Below are 20,281 nucleotides of genomic sequence, written 5' to 3'. Positions count from 1 at the left end.
ATTCGATAACTATTTGCATCCCTTTACTTAGTCTTTGGAGATGCTTAAATAAAGGCAAAAATAATAATTTCACTGGAATGTTATTTATATACATAACAATATTATCTGGTTAGTTGTGACTATTTTTCTCTACTAAGTAACTTTCTATTCTATAAGCACTCTGCACTTAGCATGTAATGTGTATGTGTACAGTTGTAAATAATCACCTAGGAACAGGTAAAATAAATGTTGCAAAACCTTGATAGCTGTTGAGTCTAGGTGATAGGTATGTGGCCATGGACACAGAATTGTACTATTCTCTGTACTTAAGTGTATGTTTAAATATTTCCATAATATTTTTAAATAAAATAATGCCCTTGGGATATTCTATGGAACACTCATCCCAAGAACTATTTCAATACAAAGTTTGAGAAGCACTGTGTGTGTGACAATTCATATTGCCATACTGAAAATGTACAGTACAGAAGCCTTCTTAACTTTACCTCATAGTTCTCAAAATTATTTGAACTCAGAATCTTTTATACTCCCCTCCTCCACAACAATTTCTAATTATTAATAGTATCCATACTTCAAGGAATTACAGTTTCATAATGGATACTAAGAACTTTAATGTACTTGATACAGAAAATAATAGTTGATGGTCTAGCTCCTTAAATAAAAATAATTAGAACCTACACTTTGACTACCTTCTGTAGATTACCACTCTCAAACCTTGCTTCAAACATCAAAGTATTGTCACGGTAATCCACAGGCTGCTTCAAAGGTGTTCGGTTACCCCCAACTCGGGAATACACAAAACAGGGCTCTTTGTAAGCTGATGAGAGAAGAAGATCATAAAGATGTCAAGGTATACCTAAAGTAAGAAGGTTATTCTGCACAGAGTTTGGAGCAATAGTACAAGTGTAAGGATTGTAAATTTTAAAGTAACTGGACACTAATTTATATAGACATGTTGAAATAAGAGAATCTAAGAGTATTTAGACTAGAAAAACAATGCCTAAAATAAATTTGTATATTTCTTACATTAAAAATACTCATTTGGCCAGGCGCAGTGGGTCATGTCTGTAATCCTAACACTTTGGGAAGCCGAGGCAGGCAGATTGCCCGAGCTCGAGGAGTTCGAGACCACCCTGGGCAACATGGTGAAAGCCTGTCTCTACTAAAAATACAAAAAAAAAAAAAAAAATTAGCCAGGTGTGGTGGCACGTGCCTGTAGTCCCAGCTACCCAGGAGGCTGAGGCAGGAGAATCGCTTGAACCTGGGAGGCAGAGGTTGCAGTGAGCGGAGATCGCGTCACTACACTTTACCCTGGGCGACAGAGTGAGACTCTGTCTCAAAAAAAGAACAAAAAAACAAAAAAACAAAAAAATTCACTCCATTTCTGGTCATGATGAAGTAATTGGTTCTGAACTTGCCCTTTCACCATAAATGACTGTAAAACTGGCTAAAGGGTATGAGCTGTTTTCACGCATTTGGACAACAAATAGAACAACTATGTAGGATCTTTGAAAGAAGATCAATACATGAAGTGAGCCCATGTTGAGCCCTGGCTTGCTGCATAGGGGTACTTGCTGGACTACAGCCTAGGGAGGTGGCATTTTAGAACAGTATGACAGTCTTCAGCTGAAGAGGAAAGATTGTTGCTTGGGGCTGCTGAAATTTGTGGGTCAGGACACCAGGGAAAAGAAAGCTACATAGAGAGAGAACCTCAACAGTCTACATAGCGGTTTCCTAGTCCTTGGATGAGGGTTTGGCTACCCAGTCAAAAGATGAGACTAAGAAAGACAGGAGAGAGCACCACTGCGGGCTGAGATGCCAGAGGACATACACTTCTGGGATATATTAGAATTCCAACTTATCCAGAGTGGAAAGATTTTATGGAATACCTTAGGCTTTCAACTGTGACTCCAGAAAGGCTGCATCTTAGGCATAAGGACCACATTCAAGAGTAAAGGTCATGACCTAGCATTGGGGATAAAATGAAAACAGACCTGCCTCTATACAAAATCAAAGCAAGCCTGAAAGAAGCAAAATGATCTGCCAGCAATTTAATTGCCTGCTAGAACAAAATTCAACGTAATGTTTAAAAGAACATAATACACGATGGATGCAGTGGTTCATGCCTGTAATCTTAGCATTTTGGGAGGCTGAGGAAGGTGGATCATGAGGTCAAGAGTTTGAGACCAACCTGGCCAACATGGTAAAAACCCATCTCTACTAAAAATACAAAAATTAGCCGGTGTAGTGGTGCATGCCTGTAGTCCCAGCTACTCAGGAGACTGAGGCATGAGAATCGCTTGAACCCAGGAGGTGGAGGTTGCAGTGAGCTGAGATTGTGCCACTGTACTCCAGCCTAGGCGACAGAGCGAGACTTCATCTCAAAATAAATAAATAAATAAATAAAAGAATATAATACAGACTCCCTAAAACATATCTTTTACAATGTTCTACATATGATAAAAACGTAAAGCATTCAGAGAAGCAGGAAAATGTGATCCATGAATACATATAAAATTCAGCAGACTCCAAGATAATGCAAATGTTGGAATTAACAGAGAAGGACTTTGAATATATATTCAAAGACAAAAAATGAAAAGATAAGAGATCATGAGAAAACAGATAAGAAATCTCAAAAAACAAAAAAAACAAAACTGAACCAAATGAAAATTCTAGAAATAAAACTACAATAACTGAAAGATTTACCAAATGGGCTGAAGATTTAATTATTCCACACTATATTCATAAATCATAACATCATTTTGTATGCCATAAACATATACAACTATAATTTGCCAATTTATAATTGAAAATTTTAAAAAGAAGAGTTAAAGCTTGCAAAAGAAATAATCAGTGAACTTGGAAACAAATAAAAATTGTCCAAACTGAAAGACAGGGAAAAAAATGGACAAATATCCAGTGACATGGGGGGACGTATCTAGAATCCAACATATGTGTAATTCTAAAAAACATGAAAGAAAGAGTGGTATGGAAAAAAATATGTGAAGAAATAATGGCTGAAATTTTCTCAAATTTTGGTGCAAAACCCCTACTAACCTATGGATCCAAAAAGTTCAGCAAACTCCAAGCAGGATAAATATTAAGATAACCAAATCTAGGCACACCATAGTCGAATTGCTGAAGACAGCCAAAGAGAAAAAGACACATTACATACAGATGGTCTCCTACTTATGATGGTTTGACTTATGATTTTCCAGCTTTACAATGGTGTAAAAGTGATACACATTCAATACCCTCCTTGACTTACAATGAAGTTATACCCAATAAATCCATCATGAGCTGAAAATATCACAAGTTGAAAATGCACCTTTGATTTATGATATTTTCAGCTTAAAATTGGTTTATTGAGAGGTAACCCTAATGTAAATTGAAGAATATCTGTATAGGAAACAATGATAAAGGCGTACCTTGTGAAATTGTGCTTTGCTTTATTGTGCTTCACAGATACTGTTTTTTTTCTTTCTTTTTTTTTTTTTTTTTTAACAAATTAAAGGTTTGTGTTGAGCAAGTCTATCAGCACCATTTTTCCAACATGTGCTCACTTTGTGTTTCTGTGTCATATTTTGGTAATTCTCACAACATTTAAAACTTTTTCATTATTATGATATCTATTATGAGTGATCTTTGATGTTACTGTTGTAATTGTTTTGGGCCACCACAAACTGCACCCATATAAAATGGTGAACTTAATTGCTGTGTGTGTTCTGACTATTCCACCACCACCCATTCCCCCATCTTTCTCCCTTTCCTTGGGCCTCCCTATTCCCTGAGACATAACAATATTGAAATTAGGCCAATTAATAATCCTACAATGGCCTCCATGTGCTCAAGTGGAGAGTCACACATCTCTCTCTTTAAATCAAAAGCCAAAAATGATTAAGCTTAGTGAGGAAGGCATGTCAAAAGCTAAGATAGGCCAAAAGCTAGGCCTTTTGTGTCAGTTAACCAGGTTGTGAATGCAAAGAAAAAAATTCTTGAAGGAGACTAAAAGTGCTACTCCAGTGAACACACAGATGATAAGACAGTCTTATTGCTGACATGGAAAAAGTTTGGTGGTCTGGGTCAAACCAGCCATAACATTCCTTTAAGCCAAAGCCTAATCCAGAGGAAGGCCCTAATTCTCTTCAATTCTTTGAGGGCAGAGACAGGTAAGGAAGCTGCAGAAGAAAAGTTTGAAGCTAGCAGAGGTTGCTTCATGAGGTTTAAGTAAAGAAGCCATATTAATAACATGAAAGTACAAGGTTAAGCAGCAAGTGATGATGCAGAAACTTCAGCAAGTTGTCCAGTTCTAGCTAACATAATTGATGAAGGTGGCTACACTAAGCAACAGCTTTCAATGTAGACAATCAGCCTTCTATTGGAAGAAGATGACATCTAGGACTTTCCTAGCTAGAGAAGTCAAGTCAATGCCCTGCTTCAGAGCTTCAAAGACAGACTGACTATCCTCTTAGGGGTGAATGTGGCTGGTGACTTTAAGTGGAAGCCAATGCTCATTTACCATTCTGAAAATCCTAGGGCCCTTAAGAATTATGCTAAATCTATTCTGCCTGTGCTCTATAAACAAAACAACAAAATCTAGACGACACCACATCTGTTTACAGCATGCTTTACTAAATATTTTAAGCCCATTATTGAGACTGACCTCTCAGAAAAAAGATTCCTTTTAAAATATTACTGCTTATTGACAATGCATCTAGTCACCCAAGAGTTCTGATGGAGATGCACTGGAGACTAACATTGTTTTCATGCCTGTTAACGAAACAACCATTCTGCAGCCCATGGATCAAGAAGTAATTTCAACTTTCAAGTATTATTATTTAAGAAATAGATTTTGTAAGGCTATAGCTGGCCTAGAGAATTACTATTCCTCTGATGGATCTGGGCAAAGTAAATTGAAAACCTTCTGGAAAGCATTTTCCATTCTAGATGCCATTCAGAACACTAGTAATTCATGGGAGGAGGCAAAAATGCCAATATTAACAGAAGTTTAGGAGAAGTTGATTTCATTCCTTATGGATAAGTTTGAGGGCTACACAACTTCACTGGAGGAAGTAACTGCAGATGTGGTGGAAATAGCAAGAGAACTAGAATTAGAAGTAGAGCCTAAAGATGTGACTGAATTGCTTCCATCCCATAATAAAACTTGAATTGGATAAAGAGTTGCTTCTTAAGGATGAGCAAAGAAAGTGGTTTCTTAACATGAAATTTATTACTGGTAAAGATGCTGTGAAGATTGTTGAAATGACAACAAAGGATTTAGTATATTCCATAATATTAGTTATAAACTAAGGATTTAATAGGACTGACTCCAATTTTGAAAGAAGTTTTACTGTAGGTAAAATGCTATCAAATAGCATCACATGCTACAGAGAAATCTTTCATGAAGAGTCAATTATGTCTAATTGACTCACTGCTGTCTAATTTTAAGAAATTGTCAGAGCCACCCTACCTTCAGCAACCACCACCCTGATCAGTCAGCAGCCATTAACACTGAGACAAAATCCTCCACCAAGCAAAAAGAATATGAATTGCTGAAGGCTTAGATGATAATTTTAATTTTTTAGCAATAAAGTATTTCTAATTAGGGCAAAGATGTTGTTGTTTTTAGACATGATGCTATTTCACACCTAATGGACTTTCATATCCACTTGGACACCACCAAAAAATTTGTGTGACTTACTTTATTGAGAGATTCACTTTATTGCAGTGGTCTGGAACTAAACCTGCATCTCTGAGGCATGGTTGTATAAATTATGGCTGAATTCTTTTTAAAAATTTGTACAAATATATAGGGTTCATGTGAAATTTTGTTATATGTATGTAATGGGTAATGTGTAGTGATCAAGTCCAGGTGTTTAGGGTGTCCATCTCCTGAGTACAATATATTCTTGTTTAACTACATTCTATGGCTGTCTTCTTATTAAAGACAACAGAGGCTACAAGACAATGGAAAAATATCTTTAAAGAAAAAAAAGCCAACTCAGAATTCTATATTCATTGAGAATGCCCTTCAAAAAGTGGTGGAAAAAATACAGGATTAGACAAATGAAATTTGAAATAATTCACTGCCAGCCAACTTAAAACTGAAAAGAAATGCTAAAGACGTTCTTTGGGATAAAAAAACAATGATGCCAGATGGAAATTCAGATCTACAGGAAGGAATAAAGAGGAGAAGAAATGGTAAATACATAAATAAATATAAATACAATTTTTTCTCCTCTTAATTTCTTTAAAGGCAACTGACCCATTTAAAACAAACAAAAAAAGGTATAATATTAATTTCAAATAGACCATAAAAGGCCAGAGGCTCACGCCTGTAATCCTAGCACTTTGGAAGGCCAAGGTGGGTGGACTGCCTGAGCTAAGAAGTTTGAGACCAGCCTTGGTAACATGGTAAAACCCCATCTCTACTAAAATACAAAAAATTAGCCGAACATGGTGGTGCGCACCCTAGTCCCAGCTTCTCAGGAGGCTGAGGTGGGAGAATCACTTGAACCTGGGAGGTAGAGGTTACAGTGAGCAGAGATCATGCCACTGCACTCCAGCCTGGGTGACAGAGCGAGGCTCTGTCTCCAAAAATTCAAATAAAAAGTAAAATAAAATAGACTTTAAGAAATTGTATATTGTAATTTCTAAACCAATCAAACTAAACGTGAGGTATACCTAAGAAAATATTTTAATTAAAATGAAATACTAAAAGGTGTTTGATTAACCTTCCCAAAAAGAGGAGTAACTGAGGAATAAAAATGAGATGGGCCAATTAATAAGATAGAGCCAAACCCAAACATATATGCAAATACACGAAATGCAGACTGTCAAACCACTCTAATTAAAAGGCAGAGATTGTCAGATTAGATTTTTTAAAGTAAGGTACTACTATATACTATCTATAAGAGATAGAATTAAAATATAATTTCATAAAAAGATTGAAAATAAAACGGGGAGTTATTCTAAGTAAACAGTAAACATAAGAAAACTGGTATTGACTATATTACTCTCAAACAACATAAAGACATGATGTAATGCCAGAGATAAAAAGAAATATTTCCTAGTTATAAAAGACACTGGCGGGCATGGTGGCTTACGCCCATAATCCCAGCACTTTGGGAGGTCGAGGTAAGTGGATCACTTGAGGTCAGGAGTTCGAGACCACCCTGGCCAACATGGTGAAACCCTGTCTCTACTAAAAATACAAAAATTGGGCAGGTGTGGTAGCGCACGCCTGTAATCCCAGCTTCTTGGGAAACTGAGGCAGGAAAATCGCTTGAACCTAAGAGGCGGAGGTTGCAATGAGCCAAGATTGTGCCACTACACTCCAGCCCGGGCAAAAGAGCAAGCCTCCATCTCTAAAATAAAATAAAATAAAATAAAATAAAATAAAATAAAATAAAATAATGGTATTCATTTCTATTTTTATTGCACTGTGATGTGAGAATGTGCTTGGGGTGATTTCAATTTTTTTTAATTTATTGAGTCTTGCTTTATGACAAAGCATGTGGTTGATCTTAGAATATGTTTCATGTGCAAATGAGAAGAATACATATTCTGTGGTTGCTGGGTGTTCTATTAGGTCCAGTTGCTCAAGTGTCCAGTTTAAGTCTAGAATTTCTTTGTTAGCTTTCTGTCTCAATCATCTTAACACTGTCAGTGGGGTGTTAAAGTCTCCTACTGTTATTGTGTGGCTAAGTCTTTTTATAGGTCAAGAAGAACTTTTATGAAACGATGCGCCATTGTTGGGTTTATATATATTTAGGATAGTTAAGACTTCTTGTTTAATTGAACTGTTTATGTAATGCCCTTCTTTTTCTTGATTATTGTTGATTGAAAGTCTGTTTCATCTGATATAAGAATCGTGATTCCTGGCCTTTTTTGTTTTCTGTTTGCCTGGTAGATCTTTCTCCAACCCTTTACTTTGAGCCTGTGGATGTTACTACATATGAGACGGGTCTGTTGAAGACAGCCAACAGTTGGGTCTTGTCTTTTTATGTAGTCTGCCACTCTATGCCTTTTAAGTGGTCTGTTCAGACCATTTACATTCAGTGTTGGTATTAATATATGCGATTTTAATCCTGTCATCATGTTATTAGCTGGTTGCTATGTAGATTTGACTGTGTAACTGCTTTACAGTGGGCTATATGGTTAAGCATGTTTTTGTGGTAGCAGGTATCATTCTTTTATTTCCATATCATCTTGTAAGGCTGGTCTAGTGATAACAACTTCCCTTAGCACTTACTTGTTTGAGAAGGATTTTATTTCTCCTTCACTTGTGGAAGCTTAGTTTGATGGGATATGAAATTCTTGATTAGAATTCTTTCTTTAGGGATGCTGAAAATAGGCCCCCTTCTGGCTTGTAAGGTTTCTGCTGAAAGGTTCACGGCTAGCTGGATGGGGTTCCCTTTGTACATGACTTCACCCTTCTCTCTCGCTGCCTTTAAGATTTTTTCTTTCATGTTGACTTTGATGATTCTGCTGACTATGTACCATGAGGATGGTCATCTTGTATAATATCTTGCAGGGGTTCTCTGTATTTCTTGAATTTTCATGTTAACCTCCTTAGTGAGATTGGGGAAATTTTTGTGAACTATATCCTAAAATACATTTTCCAAGTTGCTTACTCTCTCTCCTTCCCTCTCAGGAATGCCAATGGGTCATAGGTTTGGAATCTTTACATAATCTCATATTTCTCAAAGGTTTTGTTCATTAAAAAAATTATTTCTTCTGTATTTTTGTATGAGTTTATTCAAGCTCTGAGGGTTTTCTTCAGCTTGGTCTAGTCTGCTGTTAATGATTCTAACTGTATTATGTAATTCTTGTAGTGAATTTTTCAATTCCAGCAGTTCAGTTTGGTTTTTTCTTAAAATGGCTATTACATCTTTCAGCTCTTGGATCATTTTACTGGATTCCTAGATTGGGTTTCAACTTTCTCCTGAATCTCGATAAGATTCCTTGCCATCCAGATTCTGAATCCTGTGTCTCTCATTTCAGTCATTTCAATCTGGTTAAGAACCATTGCTGGAGAGCTAGTGTGCTCATTTGGAGGTAAAGGGACACTCAGACTTTTCGAATTATCTGAGTTCTTGTGCTGATTCTTTCTCATCTGAGAAGGCTGGTGTTCTTTTAATTGTGGTTTAAGTTGAGTATAGTCAGTTGGCTTCATTTCTGGGTGTTTTCAGAAGGCCAAAGCTCTGTACAGGGTATTATTTGTGGATAGATTCTTGCCCTGGGTTTTACAGGCAATGAATGTATATTGGGCAGAATGTTTTTGGTATTGTAATTTGTGCTACAAACCACAGATGGTGCTTGAGAGTAATGGCCAGCAGAGAAGCTCTTAGCCATAGGGCTCTTTTGTATTGCAGCACACCTGCAGCAGCACTCTATGGTGGGCAGGTGGAAAGATGACCCCCATCACCAGGCCCGCTCTGGGCCTTGTAGGAGTCCCCTCCAATCACTGGTGCCACTTGTGTTTTTTTGTTGTTAGGTGTTCCAGGTTGTGGGGCTCCCAGGCACACCACACCCTTCCCAGACGGTCATGTAGAGGGAGGTGTGCCCTGTTCCTTTGTTGGCCCATGAGCTTGCATGTCTCACCTCTCTCAATGTTCTCAGAATGGGGGCTCCTCCCGCTCAAGTGCTGGTCACAGATCTACACTCAGCACTCACAAGCTGCATGCCAAAGCCCTGGGACATTGTAACTGGCCTGTGCCTCCATCTGGCCCCTTGGGGTTGAGCACTGGGTGTGCTGGGGGATGTGAAGTGCTCCTAGGCCACTGGGAAGTATTCAGATGGGGCCACCAGCAAAGCACCCAGGTTGGGCAGAGGAGGCTGTGCTGTGCACATGCTCCTGCAGGAGCAGCTAGGCAGGGGCCTTGGGAAGGGCTAGCGGGCAGGAGGGCCTGAAGAACAGACATGCCCCAGTCCCACAGGATGGGATAGGATAGTCAGCCCTGCTCTCTCTTGACCCTGTAGTCAGCTGGGGTTACAGTGACTCAGAGGAACATAGGGGGCCTTATATTAGAAGATGGGCACCTATGGCTGTGTTCTGCTTCAGCTGCCCCATGTGCAAAATCCCCTGGGCTCCATGCAGGCGAAAGCTCTGTCTCTGCCTACTCTCTAGGCAGATTCCCCTGACAGTTCAAATATCTGTGGGGGTCATGAAATCTCTTGTAGCTAGGATCCCAGTAATCTGCAGCAAAAGTAGGCTGTCCCACCATCCCTTCACTTGCCTCTTCCCTAGGACTGTTCAGGGGTAGGAACTAGCCCCGGCATTCAGCAACCCCATGCAGGGTTCCTAGCTTTCTCTTCAACCTTGGTGTCTGCATCACCTCTCTATCAACCCTTAGTGTTTTCTCTCTGAGGATCTGTTCAAAGTATGTTGATATACTTGATATTTTGGTCTCTCTCAGTGGGAGTGGTGCTTCCTGACTGTCTAGTCAGCCATCTTGTCTCCTCCTTCATTGAGTTTCTATAGCACATGAAAAAGTAAAACATTTGAAAACCATAACACAAAGAAAGGGAAGCAGGAATTGAGAATATACTTTTGTAAGGTGCTCACACTATATGTGAAGTGGTATAACATTATTTGAAGATAGTCTTCTAAATTAAAGATACATACAAAAAAACCTAGGGCAAAAATTTAAAAACAGATATACATGATAAGCCAATAGTGGAGATAAAATGGAATAATAAAATATAGTCAAATTAATGTCAATGAAGGCAGACAAAGAATTAAAAAGAAATAACAGATGGAATAAAGCAAAGCTAGTAAGATGGTAGCTATTAATCCAACAACAATAATTATATATTAAACATAATAATTAAAAGACAGATTTTCAGTTTATATAAAAAGCAAATCCAACCATAAAAACTCTAGAAGAAAACCTAGGCAATACCATTAAGAACATAGGCATGGGCAAAGATTTTATAATGAAATGAGCAAAAGCAATTGCAACAAAAGCTAAAATTGAGAAATGGGATCTAATTAAACTGAAGAGCATCTGCATAGCAAAGGAAACTATCATAAGAGCAAACAGGCAACCTACAGAATGGGAGAAAATTTTTGCTATTTACCCATCTAACAAACGTCTAATATCCAGAATTTACAAGAACGTAAAACAAATTTATGAGAAAAAAAAAACCCATCCAAAAGTGAGCAAAGGATATGAACAGACATTTCTCAAAAGAAGACGTATGTGGCCAACAAACATATGAAGAAAAGCTCATCATCACTGGTCATTAGAGAAATACAAATCAAAACCACAATGAGATACCATCTCACACCAGTCAGAATGGCGATTATTAAAAAGTCAAGAAACAACAGATGCTGGTGAGGCTGCGGAGAATAGAAACACGTTTACATTGTTGGTGGGAATGTAAATTAGTTCAACCATTGTGGAATAAAGTGTGGCGATTCCTCAAGGATCTAGAACCAGAAATACCATTTGACCCAGCAATCCTATTACTGGGTATATACCCAAAGGAATATAAATCATTCCATTGTAAAGATACGTGCACATGTATGTTGATTGCATCACTATTCACAATGGCAAAGACATGGAACCAACCCAAATGTCCATCAATGATAGACTGGATAAATAAAATATGGTACAAATACACCATGGACTACTATGCAGCCACAAAAAGGAATGAGATCATGTCCTTTGCAGGGACATGGATGAAGCTAGATGCCATCATCCTCAGCAGACTAATACAGGAACAGAAAACCAAACGCCACATGTTTTCACTCATAAGTGGGAGCTGAACAATGAGAATACATGGACACAGGGAGAGGAACAACACATACCGGGGCCTCTCAGGGCAAAGGCAAGGGGAGGGAGAGCATCAGGACAAACAGCTAATGTACATGGAGCTTAAAACCTAGGTGACAGGTTGATAGGTCCAGCAAACTACCATGGCACACAGATACCTGTGTAACAAACCTGCACATTCTGCACATGTATGCCAGAAGGTAAAAAAAAAAAAGCAAATCCCAATGATATGCTGTGTATCTTCCAAAATTAAAAAAAATTAAAATAAAACATAGGTTAAAAGTAGGGCCGGGCGTGGTGGCTCACGCCTGTAATCCCAGCACTTTGGGAGGCTGAGGCGGGCGGATCACAAGGTCAGGAGATCGAGACCATCCTGGCTAACACGGTGAAACCCCGTCTCTACTAAAAATACAAAAAAATTAGCCAGGCGTGGTGGTGGGCGCCTGTAGTCCCAGCTACTCGGGAGGCTGAGGCAGGAGAATGGCATGAACCTGGGAGGTGGAGCTTGCAGTGAGCCGAGATAGCGCCACTGCACTCCAGCCTGGGTAACAGAGCGAGACTCTGTCTCAAAAAAAAAAAAAAAAGTAAAATGATGGAAAAATATATATGCACTATACAAATGCTAATAACAAGATTGAATATCAAAGTAGATTGCCATGGATAAAGCTACAATATCAATATGGTGGTACTGGCATAACTATCAATACATCAATGGAACAGAATGAAGTGTCTAGAAATAGACCTACATATATATTGTTAACTGACATTTAATAAAGGTGGCTGGGCAATTCAATAGGTCATAGGATAGTCTTTTTTTTTTTTTATTATTTAAGTTCTAGGGTACATGTGCATAACGTGCAGGTTTGTTACATATGTATACATGTGCCATGTTGGTGTGCTGCACCCATTAACTCGTCATTTACATTAGGTATATCTCCTAATGCTATCCCTCCCCCCTCCCCCACTCCACAACAGGCCCCAGTGTGTGATGTTCCCCTTCCTGTGTCCAAGTGTTCTCATTGTTCAATTCCCACCTAGGAGTGAGAACATGCGGTGTTTGGTTTTTTGGCCTTGCGATACTTTGCTCAGAATGATGGTTTCCAGCTTAATCCATGTCCCTACAAGGGACATGAACTCATCATTTTTTATGGCCGCATAGTATTCTGTGGTGTACATGTGCCACAGTTTCTTAATCCAGTCTATCATTGATGGACATTTGGGTTGGTTCCAAGACTTTGCTATTGTGAATAGTGCCGCAATAAACATATGTGTGCATGTATCTTTATAACAGCATGACTTACAATCCTTTGGGTATATACCCAGTAACGGGATCGCTGGGTCAAATGGTATTTCTAGTTCTAGATCCCTGAGGAATCACCACACTGTCTTCCACAATGGTTGAACTAGTTTACAGTCCCACCAACAGTGTAAAAGTGTTCCTATTTCTCCACATCCTCTCCAGCACCCTTTGTTTCCTGACTTTTTAATGATCGCCATTCTAACTTGTGTGAGATGGTATCTCATTGTGGTTTTGATTTGCATTTCTCTGATGGCCAGTGATGATGAGCACTTTTTCATGTGTCTGTTGGCTGCATAAATGTCTCCTTTTGAGAAGTGTCTGTTCATATCCTTCACCCACTTGTTGATGGGGTTGTTTTTTTCTTGTAAATTTGTTTGAGTTCTTTGTAGATTCTGGATATTAGCTGTTTGTCCGATGAGTAGATTGCAAAAATTTTCTCCCATTCTGTAGGTTGTCTGTTCACTCTGATGGTGGTTTCTTTTGCTGTACAGAAGCTCTTTAGTTTAATTAGATCCCATTTGTCAATTTTGGCTTTTGTTGCCATTGCTTTTGGTGTTTTAGACATGAAATCCTTGCCCATGCCTATGTCCTGAATGGTATTGCCTAGGTTTTCTTCTAGGGTTTTTATGGTTTTAGGTCTAACATTTAAGTCTTTAATCCATCTTAAATTAATTTTTGTATAATGTGTAAGGAATGGATCCAGTTTCAGCTTTCTACTTATGGCCAGTTTTCCCAGCACCATTTGTTAAATAGGGAATCCTTTCCCCATTTCTTGTTTTTGTCAGGTTTGTCAAAGATCAGATGGTTGTAGATGTGTGGTATTATTTCTGAGGGCTCTGTTCTGTTCCATTGGTCTATATCTCTGTTTTGGTACCAGTACCGTGCTGTTTTGGTTACTGTAGCCTTGTAGTATAGTTTGAAGTCAGGTAGCGTGATGCCTCCAGCTTTGTTCTTTTTGCTTAAGATTGACTTGGCAATGCGAGGATAGTCTTTTCAATAGCTGGTGATTAATCAATTTTGTTAAAAGGTGGGAAAAAATGAACCTTGACCCATATCACAAACCATTCACAAAAAAATGATTCTAGATGAATCAAAGACAAAGATAAAAAAGTGAAAAGAATAAAGTTTCTTGAAAAAAATAGGTGATCTTGGGAAAAGCAAAGTTTATAAGTAGGCAGGATGCAAAATGCACTAAATTTGAAAGAAAAACAATTGGTAATTGACTTCATAGAAGTTTAAAAGTTCTACTCATCAAAAGATATTGTTATGAAAATGAAAAGGATTTCCACAGATGAAAGTGAAGATTTCACTATATCATATATATATGACACAGCATTTACATCTTGAACACATATCATAAAAAGACAAAGTGTGGTATAGTTATATGATGGAGTACCATTTGGCAATATAAAAGAGTCTGCTAACATGTATAAATCTGAAAACATAATCCCAAGTCAAAGAATTCAGACATAACAGTGTACTTACTGTATGACTGAATTTATATGAAGCTAAAAATCAGGCAAAACTAATCTATGGTGACAGAAATCAGACCAGTGTTTGCCTGGGGCTGGAGCTGCGGACTGACCAGAAGGGGAGAGATGGGAACTTTCTGGGGTGATGGAAGTATTCCATATCTTGATAGGAGTGTTGGTTACACAGATGATATATTTTTCAAAACTCACCAAATTGTGTACTTATGATCTATACATTTCATTCTGTCTACATTTTACCTCAATTTATTCAAAATAAAAACTAACCATGTCTCACAGTATGACACATTCTTCAGTACCCTGTCCTAGGGTTTTAACTTTATATGAACATTTTAATTTTCATTGACATTTAAATTACATCTTACCTACTGAAATTTGTCTTTTCTACTCTTCTTTTTTGTCATTTGTAAAAATGGAAAAAGGTAAATATTTACAATTAATCTTTCACACGTTCAATGAAAATCAAGTAAGTCAAGACTTTTTTTCATCCTCAAACCTTGTTTCTATAGCTTTCCTTTCAACTCATGGAAAGGCAGATCTTCACAACTCCCAAGTATGGCATAAAAATAAGATTAAGTGGGGTTGATTGAGATGGATATTCTGTTTCTACCTACAGATCTATCCTCTACTCTTCTCCACATTATACGTTTCCAAAGAGGCTGATCTGTATTGACTGCCCCAGAGGTTCCCTTGCCCTTTGGCTGTGGACAATGGGAGGCACTTGTAGAACATGGGAAGTTGGGAGGATAGTGAAATTGGTTTATTTATCCTCCTAGCATTTTCCCTTCGGTGCCACAGGTTGGCAGTTGTCTATTTCTTTACTAAAAGCTACAGTTGTTTCGAGGCTGCCCTCTCCTATACCTAAAGGATTCTACAGGTCTGGAGACCAGTTCTGTCTTCTCACCCTTTCAGGCCCAGCAGACATGGTTCTCCTCTGTTGATAGTCCTATGTTGCTTCACCATCCCTTGTTAATCTCAATTAACTCTGTCTACCCTTTTTAAAATTCATTAAATTAAATTTAATTAAACTTTATTAAATTACTCTGAGTATGCTATCTAATTCCTGAGAAGACCCTGACTGATTCATCTCAATTATTTTAGTTTTTTCTAAATCAGATCTCATTTCAGTTATGTATGGCAGTTCTGAGGCAGGTTCACCATGTAAATATTCACAATCAAATTGGAAAAATCATAGGTATTCCTCTCCATTTGTTTAAAAATATTGTGAGTATATTTTTGTGAGTTGTTTGTGAGTATATGATTTCTAGAATTGCTTACTGTACAGGGAGCAGCCTCTGTGAATTTCTCTTTGTCTTGCTAGTTCCTTAAATAAAATACATATGCTCCCTGGAAGTTATCTTTAATATACGAAAACACTCTAAGACATTAAACTGTGATGGTGAAATTATGTGGAGTCTATACTTCCTTATGCTGGTGCTTCAGGAGCAGTATAGTTGAGAGTATACTCTGAGACTTCTATGTTTGATTTTTTGCAAAGTGGGGCAGTTGTTTCTCTTTTAAAGATTATAACGCCAAGAAATGCATCAGAGTCAGGAAATTAAAAGAAAAACATCTGAACGAATGCATGAATGTGAGCCATACATGGAGAGGGAACAATAATTGCAAAGCATTTCACTGGGTTTATCTTTCAAAATTGATATGAAGCAAAATTCATTCTAAATATAACTCTTCATTCTAATGGCCAACATGATGTTTAATTTTAAAGTAACTTTGCATAAACTGCAATACACCTTCAAAAATATAACTGGCTCTAAATCAACACTTGGATCAATATATAAACAAACATCTTTATGTTTAGGGACTGGTCATCTGAAATTTCCACTACAAACAGCAAAACAAATATAATTAAGAGATTAACCTAAGTACCAAATTATATTTTACAGCAACATGTGTCATTATGTGCTCACCATCTTCAGCTAGATAAACCACAGTAGCTTCCTTGGAGTCTGGATAAAGGGGTTCCGTTTCTAAGCCCGTTGGGATATACACTGGCTCAGGACAAGAAGGAGTCCAATCTGGAAAAAAAAGTGAAACATTATTTGAAGATGACTTCAAAATAAAACAGAAAAATTTTATTGCATATTTTCAAATTATTCATTGATAGATCTAGGCTAAAATGTAGTGTTTTGTGTGGGGTAAGATTTTACTAAGGGTTCATTGGAATAATGAATATTGTCACACTGTAATACAACTTATGACATTTCATTCATATCTTCTTCTGAATTATTATATTGAGTAGTTTCATGCTTGCTTTTTGCTCGTTACTGATTTTATACCTATTTTATAACACAATTCTCTTTCTCCTGAGCCCTTGATACCATTCTGTCTCACCTCTGGGAAATCTTACTCTACCTTTTATTCTTCCTTTCCCTTCAGCTTCTTTGCTTGATAATGGCTGTCAAGATAAATCTTATAAACATGTTCAGGTTTATCTCCCAAAAGGAAAGATAGTCTTAGATGTCCCCCTACCCCTGCCACTTCTCCTTTAGCTATCAGCTTTCTTTCTTTTTAGGATCAAATTTCTTAAACATCATCTGCACTATTCTCAGGTCTTTCTGACCATGACCTATTTGATGGGGGAAAAATGACATCACAGCCTAACTACCCTAGTTATTTGTATTTTTTTTTTTAATGAACGAAGAATTTGATGACAAACAAGTATTACTGGACAAACATTTTGGAGATTATGTGTACATCTGCTTTAACAACAGAAGTGTATTTGACATTATCAATAGGGATCAAATCTAGCTACAGAAGAAACACAGTCTACCATATTGATGCAAATGTGTATCACTGTATTGTAGAGTTAAATGAATCACACATGACCAAATAAATTGATAATAAAGATAAGCAAATTATAATTAAAAATTTAAATGTTTTATTTAAAAATCTCATTAGTTGAAAGTCTTAACCAACTTAAGTCAAAATTAATGAACTAATAAAATAGCTCCCATTCTGAAAACATTAGGAATTTCAGCTATTTGCCTTGGTGTATGCTGATTTTTTTTTTCTTTTCTTTTTTTTTTTTTTTTTTTTGAGATGGAGTGTCGCTCTGTCGCCCAGGCTGGAGTGCAGTGGCGTGATCTCAGCTCACTGCAAGCTCCGCCTCCCGGGTTCACGCCATTCTCCTGCCTCAGCCTCCCGAGTAGCTGGGACTACAGACGCCTGCCACCACGCCCGGCTAATTTTTTTTTTTTTTCTTTTTTTTGTATTTTTAGTAGAGACGGGGTTTCACCGTGTTAGCCAGGATGGTCTTGATTTCCTGACCTCGTGATCCACCTGCCACGGCCTCCCAAAGTGCTGGGATTACAGGCGTGAGCCACCATGCCCGGCCTGTGTATGCTGATCTTCAAAAGTTGCACGAAATCCAGACTTCTCAGTTAAGAAAACAGAGATTTTATTAATTTCTGCTTATGCTCTTCTTTATTTATTAATAACTAGTAAAGAACCATGAAACCCTATCATTATAACTGGAGAAAGAACTTGTATATAAGCGACAAGTTTGCAGTTTATTAGAGTACCCTTACTGAGAGCCATGTTTTGAGAATCAGATGTAACCCACTTCTGATACCCATATCCACTGTTCCACTAAAATTGTTCTTTACGTTGTATTTGAAACAGGGTGAGCATTCAGTTAGATGTCCATAGATTAAATGGACAGACAGATGAATGGACATATGGAGAGATGAATGAATGGATGGTTGAACAATGCAAAGTTTTTATCCACATATTCCTTAAATGTAAATAATGTAATATACGTCTACTGCATAAACGTTTTATGTCTGGCAATATCGTCATTGCAAAAAAGCTACTCTCGAGCAAGCGTTGTTTAAGTAGAAGATTTTGGCTTGAAATTAAGCATTTCAAGATTTTCTGAGTATTCTATAGTAAGCAATTTCATCTGTAATGGACTTAAACATCAACATGGATTCCTGATATAGGCACTTCTTCTTGACTTGTTATTCAGTGATAGATTTTGCAGCTATCTTTATGTCAAGTAGCCTGGAAAATTCTATATTCATCTTTCCATTATCACAATCTCCTACTATCCTTGTTGATGTCTGCTGTTCAAAAAACTATTTGAAAGTGTTGGCTATCATTGTCCCAAGATAACTCAGATGTCTGTGCATAGCAAATATGTTTCCTAGTTCTCTCAAAGCTGCAAACTCGAGCTGTGAAAAAACACTGCATTCTCTTGAGTCCTCCTTTAGTCAAAGTCATGTTCCCAGAAGAATGGAGTCTGTGCTTAGCAGTTACCATGTCATGTGAGCACCAAATCAGTGCTGTTTGTGCCATTATGTCTCATGGATCACCTTGTGAAGGTTTTTGCTTTGGCCTTCAGCTCCTTTCTCCATAGGCCTTAGGACAGGCTGAGACAACACCATGCCTTCAGCCCTTCACCATATGTTTCATTTTCTTCCAAGGAAAAAGAAAAAAAAATAAACTTCTATGCAAAAGAAGACTCCTTCAGGTCCTAACCATCAGTATAGCAGATGTAAAAGCCTAAGTAGTTGGTAAGGATATTCCATTTTGTGTATCTTTTTTCACTTGGCTACTGTGAGACTTCTTGTTATCTGTTCTCAGATTTATCTTTGGGTGATCCCACTTTTTGATCACTGAGATATGGTATATGCAAATGATCTTATAAAAGGGATATCCAGGAGCCATAGAAAATCCCAGAAAACACCTTCTGAATTAAAGGTGTTTAACTTGGAATGCTTTTTATAAGTAATTATTTTTATCAGACTTGTTTATTGTGTAAAAGTTAAAAGTATAGCTTAAGCAAAAAGAAAAAAATCCACAATCTCATTATGCAGAAATAGGTATCAACATTTCGGGTTTTTTTTTTTTTTTTTTTTTTTTTTTTTTCAGAGACAGAGTCTCGCTCTGTTTCCCAGGCTGGAGTGCAGTGGCATGATCTCAGCTCACTGCAACCTCCACTTCCCAGGTTCAAGCAATTCTCCTGCCTCAGCCTCCCAAGTAGCTGGGACTACAGGCGCATGCCACCATGCCCAGCTAATTTTTTTGTATTTTAGTAGAGATGGAGTTCCACCGTGTTGCCCAGGCTGGTCTCGAACTCCTGAGCTCAGGCAATCCACCCGCCTTGGCCTCCCAAAGTGCTAGGATTACAGACATGAGCCACTGCGCCCGGCCAACATTTTGGTTTTTATCTTTTTAGGCTTTCTCGCTTTCAACCATCCAGTTCAGATGCTTTTGGCATATGCTAAGAAAATATATTATTTCACTTATTTAGAAACCCAGAAGTAGAGTGGATTCGAGGGATGGTATAATCAGTGACTCAGTGGTCATCCAGAGCTCACTTTTTTATGTCTCTCCACTTTGTCATCCTCATCCTAAGGCTTACCATTGTAAAATGTAAAACAACATGACTGTCAGCGGAAGTGTCTTGTACTAACTGACTTAATCAAATACAGTGGAATCAACTACAATGAGTCAACCACAATGTCTTCTTCAAGTATACGGCATCATTCTATATATACTGATCACCAATTTGTTTTTCCCACCCACTTCACTAAACATCTTAGAGATGTTTAATATACATAGATCTTTATCATTTTTTAACATCTGTATACTGTTCTCTAATATGGATTGCCACAATTTGACCATTAGTGGACATAATAGTTATGTCTTTATTTACCTAAGAGATAAACTGCTGGTCAGGGAATACA

General features: G+C 37.7%; 1 protein-coding gene across 14 annotated transcripts in view; it reads right to left on the bottom strand.

Annotated features, from left to right (window-relative positions):
• Positions 1 to 20,281, bottom strand: part of AGBL3 (AGBL carboxypeptidase 3) — a 149,271-nt gene that overhangs the window by 102,121 nt on the left and 26,869 nt on the right. For 8 of the 14 annotated variants that reach the window (NR_160300.1, NM_178563.4, XM_047420319.1 and 5 more), the window contains 2 exons: positions 16,499 to 16,606; positions 676 to 814 (listed from right to left, as the gene is read on the bottom strand). Coding sequence is in view for 12 of the 14 variants with exons in the window: in NM_178563.4 (NP_848658.3) it covers positions 676 to 814; positions 16,499 to 16,606 (247 nt within the window). In the remaining 2 variants the exon portion in view is untranslated. The remainder of the gene's footprint in view (positions 1 to 675; positions 815 to 16,498; positions 16,607 to 20,281) is intronic. The other 6 variants (NR_144293.1, NM_001345853.1, NM_001345852.1 and 3 more) reach the window with 1 other exon arrangement.

The sequence above is a fragment of the Homo sapiens genome, chromosome 7, assembly GCF_000001405.40.
Source record: "Homo sapiens chromosome 7, GRCh38.p14 Primary Assembly".
Taxonomy (NCBI): domain Eukaryota; kingdom Metazoa; phylum Chordata; class Mammalia; order Primates; family Hominidae; genus Homo; species Homo sapiens.
This window is presented reverse-complemented; position numbering and strand designations above follow the sequence as displayed.